Below are 5206 nucleotides of genomic sequence, written 5' to 3'. Positions count from 1 at the left end.
TTATTTCGATAACTGAAGCTCTCAGGCCTCTGTTGGAAGTGTTGAGGTTGACTTATGTCCATAATTACATGCTGAAAAGCTTTGCGTAGAAGGAAATACAGGGATTGGGTAGAAAGAATAGACTGGAGGAGAGCAGGAAAGACCAGTGATTTGAAAAGCACATCACAACCAGACCTCATAAACTCCACCTACTAAAGAGTTGGCTTTGCAATGGCAACAAAAGACAAAATTGACAAATGGGATCTAATTAAACTAAAGAGCTTCTGCACAGCAAAAGAAACTACCATCAGAGTGAACAGGCAACCTACAACATGGGAGAAAATTTTCGCAACCTACTCATCTGACAAAGGGCTAATATCCAGAATCTACAATGAACACAAACAAATTTACAAGAAAAAAACAAACAACCCCATCAAAAAGTGGGCAAAGGAAATGAACAGACACTTCTCAAAAGAAGACATTTATGCAGCCAAAAAACACATGAAAAAATGCTCATCAACACTGGCCATCAGAGAAATGCAAATCAAAACCACAATGAGATACCATCTCACACCAGTTAGAATGGCAATCATTAAAAAGTCAGGAAACAACAGGTGCTGGAGAGGATGTGGAGAAATAGGAACACTTTTACACTGTTGGTGGGACTGTAAACTAGTTCAACCATTGTGGAAGTCAGTGTGGCGATTTCTCAGGGATCTAGAACTAGAAATACCATTTGACCCAGCCATCCCATTACTGGGTATATACCCAAAGGACTATAAATCATGCTGCTATAAAGACACATGCACACGTATGTTTATTGCGGCTCTATTCACAATAGCAAAGACTTGGAACCACCCCAAATGTCCAACAATGATAGACTGGATTAAGAAAATGTGGCACATATACACCATGGAATACTATGCAGCCATAAAAAATGATGAGTTCATGTCCTTTGTAGGGACATGGATGAAATTGGAAATCATCATTCTCAGTAAACTATCACAAGAACAAAAAACCAAACACCGCATATTCTCACTCATAGGTGGGAACTGAACAATGAGATCAAATGGACACAGGAAGGGGAATATCACACTCTGGGGACTGTGGTGGGGTGAGGGGAGGGGGAGGGATAGCATTGGGAGATATACCTAATGCTAGATGACGAGTTAGTGGGTGCAGCGCACCAGCATGGCACATGTATACATATGTAACTAACCTGCACAATGTGCACATGTACCCTAAAACTTAAACTATAATAAAAAATAAATAAATAAATAAATAAATAAAATAAAAAATAAAAAATAAATAAAATTCAATGGCTTCATTCTTAGTGAAAACATAAATGAAAAAAAAAAAAGAGTTGGCTTTGAAGAAAAGAATGAAGTAGGCACAATAATGACACCAAAGATGTCCACATCCTAATCTCTGGAAACTGAATATCTTGCATTAAATGGCAAAGGAGAAATAAGGTTGTAGATGGAATTAAGTGTGCTAATTGACTGACTTCAAGATAAGGAGTTTTTCTGGAAAATCCAGGTGAACCCAATGTAATTACAAGGGCTCCTAAAAGTGGAAGAGGGAGGAAGAATTTGTGTCACAGTGCTGTGATGTAAGGAAGACTCGACCAGCCATTGCTGGCTTTGAAGATGGAGAAGGGCCACCAGCCACAGAATGTGGGCAGCCTCTGGAAGCTGAAAATAGATTCTCCCGTAGAGCCTCTAGAAAGGAATGCAGCCCTAAGGACACCTTGATTTCAGCCAGTGAGACCTGTGTTGGATGTATGGCCTCCAGAAACATACCATAATAAATTTGTATTGTTCTAAGACACTAAGTCTGTGGTAACTTTATAGCAGCAACAGAAAATGAATACAGACCAGGTGATGTGGTTCATGCCTGTAATCCCAGCACTTCGAGAGGCCAAGGCGGTTGGATCAACTGAGGTCAGGAGTTCGAGACCAGCCTGGCCAACATGGTGAAACCCCGTCTCTACTAAAAATACAAAAATTTGCCAGGCATGGTGGTGCACACCTGTAATTCCAGCTACTTGGGAGGCTGAGGCAGGAGAATCGCTTGAACCCGGGAGGTGGAGGAGGTAGCAGTGAGCCAAGACTGCACCACTGCACTCCAGCCTGGGCAACAGAGTGAGACTTGGCTTCAAAAAAAAAAAAAGGAAAGGAAAAATGAATACAAAGGCCAAACATTTTAAAGCCTTCAGACCACTATTTATTTGACATTAATCACAAATTCACTTACAACAAAAGGAAATAAAACTGTACAATTAGAAGGAATAGTTTGTAACATCAATAAAACAAGTGAACCAAAAACAAGAGTAATAAAAAAATAACAAGAAGATTCAAATAGGATAATATGGTTCTTATTTCCAGGGGAAAAAAAAACTGAACTAAAACCCAAAAGAATGTGTGTGATTTTAAATCTGCCCTCGTTGGGCTACTGTGTGGCTCTTTTTCATTCACAATGAGGTAAAGTATAAAACATCTTTTTTTAAATGTGATGAATTGTCTCTGAGAAAAATGATATCTTAGATCCCCCTCTCCCTAGTGTATTGCTTTGGTATAGTCCTAAACCTTACTGTGGCTTTAATTTTAAATAGCATAAAATAATAGTTGCTTCAAGTTCTCTGATGAGAAGAGGTACTGTACTAGGAATAGCAAGCAGGTAGACTGTGACAAGGTCAAAGTAAACTGTTCCCAGGGTAATAGCAAAACTCCAGCTGTTCATCACTTCATCACATGCAGTGTCAGGGAGAGAGGGAGGGGAATGGTACTTATGGTTATCATTGATTTGCTGAAGTTGAGTTTAATTCAGTCTCTTAATTTCAAGAACCTCCAAAATTCAAATTCAAATTCCTATATTATGTTTAACTACAAATGAGACATATAAATGAGCAAGCAGATACGTAAAGGGAATAGTAAATCCACTTAAACAAAATACAGGAAAGCAGAGATCACTCTATTACCAAGGACATCATCCATAACTGGCTACAAGAGAGTTCAGATATGCCGTATTCTAAATTGACAGGTTATGTCTAAAAAGCATCCTACTTTTATGTGTTTTTAATTACGGAGAGAGGGCACAGAGAAGAGATTTGGGATCAGGAGACCCAGGTTTTAGTGCTGTCTTGTCCAATATTGATCTCTGTGAATCTAGGTTTTCTAGTTTGAAAACTAAAGAGATTAAACTAAATTAATGTGTCCCAAAGTTTGAGATCTATATTAGCAGAAGTAGTAGATAAGTTGGCAAAAAGTATTAAATACGACTGAATTTCAAAGTAAGAAAATTATTTTCTTATCAATGTTCTTTTTAACTTTTCTATGAAAGTCAAAAAGAAAGTCTCAGTTTGGTGCTGGTATAGCTTTTACACATCCCTAATAGCAGCAAATCTCCTTTATTAATGAAGAGAGGGCAGACTTCAAGTTTAGGGCCTTCCAAAGGCAAAGTCTCTAGCTAGAATTTAACGACCGTTTTATCTTTATTGTATCTGATTTTATATTTATAGCATATGAGACTGGTTTCTTTTCATTCATGGTATAATCTGGTTTATTTAACTAAAAAGAAGAAAAATATTAGCGAAATAATATATAGGTGTTAACTACATAAATATAAGAAACATCTTGAAAAAGCAGTATCAACTGACTTCAAGTTGAGAAACCATGAATAAAATTATTCATGAAGTTCTTTCTCATTCTAACATTCTATAAGCCAATAATAAAAATCTGGCCTCCAATGTTAGGACAATTTTTTGACACACAATCTGTTTTATTTAGTTGTTAATGTAACTCCTGGAATTTGTTTTATTATTGAATTAATGTGTACATGTCTTGTTTTCCAAGATAAATAGTACATTGCCCAAAGACAGGAAAAGCAACATGTATGTCTCAATATATACTGAATAAATAAAGGGATCCTTGCTTCTTATATGGATGTTTCTGAACCCAAAAAGAATCCTGAATTTAAAGCCAAAACTGAGTCAGAATAGCCATACTGGTTTTTTCCTCTTCTTGGTTGTTTTGTTTGTTTGGTTAGTTGGTTGAAATATTTAGAGATGGGGTCTCACTATGTTGCCCAGGTGTATTAGTTCGTTTTCTTGCTGCTGATAAAGACATACCTGAAACTGGGAACAAAAAGAGGTTTAATTGGACTTACAGTTCCACATGGCTGGGGAGGTCTCAGAATCATGGCAGGAGGTGAAAGGCACTTCTTACATGGTGGCAGCAAGAGAAAAATGAGGAAGAAGCAAAAGCAGAAACCCCTGATAAATTCATCAGATCTCGTGAGACTTATTCACTATCATGAGAATAGCACGGGAAAGACTGTCCCCCATAATTCAATTACCTCTCCCTGGGTCCCTCCCACAACACATGGGAATTCTGGGAGATAGAATTCAAGTTAAGATTTGGGTGGTGACACAGTCCAACCATATCATTCTGCTCCTGATTCCTCCAAATCTCATGTCCTCACATTTCAAAACCAATCATGCCTTCCCAACAGTCCCCCAAGGTCTTAACTCATTTCAGCATTAACCCAAAAGTTCATAGTCCAAAGTCTCATCTGAGGCAACTCCCTTCCACCTATGAACCTGTAAAACGAAAGCAAGCTAGATACAATGGGGGTACAGGTATTGGGTAAATAAAGCCATTCCAAATGGGAGAAATTGGCCAAAACAAAGGGGTTACAGGGCCCATGCAAGTCTGAAATCCAGCAGGGCACTCAAATTTTAAAGCTCCAAAATGATCTCCTTTGACTCCAGGTCTCACATTCAGGTCATGCCGATGCAAGAGGTGAGTTCTCATGGTCTTGGGAAGCACTGCCCTTGTGGCTTTGCAGGTATGGCCTCCCTCCTGGCTGTTTTCATGGGCTGGCATTGAGTGTCTGTGGCTTTTCCAGGTGCATGGTGCAAGCTGTCGGTGGATCTACCATTATGGAGTCTGGAGGACCTTCTCACAGCTCCACTAGGCAGTGCCCCAGTAGGGACTCTGTGTGGGGGCTCTGACCCCATATTTCCCTTCTGCACTGCCCTAGCGGAGGTTCTCCATGAGGGCCCCACCCTTGCAGCAAACTTTTGCCTGAGTATGCAGGCATTTCCATACATCTTCTGAAAGCTAGGCGGAGGTTCCCAAGCCTCAATTCTTGACTTCTGTGCACCCACAGGCTCAACACCACATGGAAGCTGCCAAGGCTTGGGGCTTCCACTCTCTGAAACCAC

General features: G+C 39.5%; 1 annotated feature.

The window, feature by feature from the left end:
- Positions 4644 to 4834: a silencer, noted in NCBI's record as "fragment chr3:158770193-158770383 (GRCh37/hg19 assembly coordinates)". NCBI's record gives its function as "represses an EF-1alpha promoter that drives an FKBP-Casp9 reporter gene in an ReSE screen in HepG2 liver carcinoma cells {active_cell/tissue: HepG2}" and the evidence as "EXISTENCE:reporter gene assay evidence [ECO:0000049][PMID:32094911]".

Source organism: Homo sapiens, chromosome 3 (genome assembly GCF_000001405.40).
Source record: "Homo sapiens chromosome 3, GRCh38.p14 Primary Assembly".
Classification (NCBI taxonomy): domain Eukaryota; kingdom Metazoa; phylum Chordata; class Mammalia; order Primates; family Hominidae; genus Homo; species Homo sapiens.
This window is presented reverse-complemented; position numbering and strand designations above follow the sequence as displayed.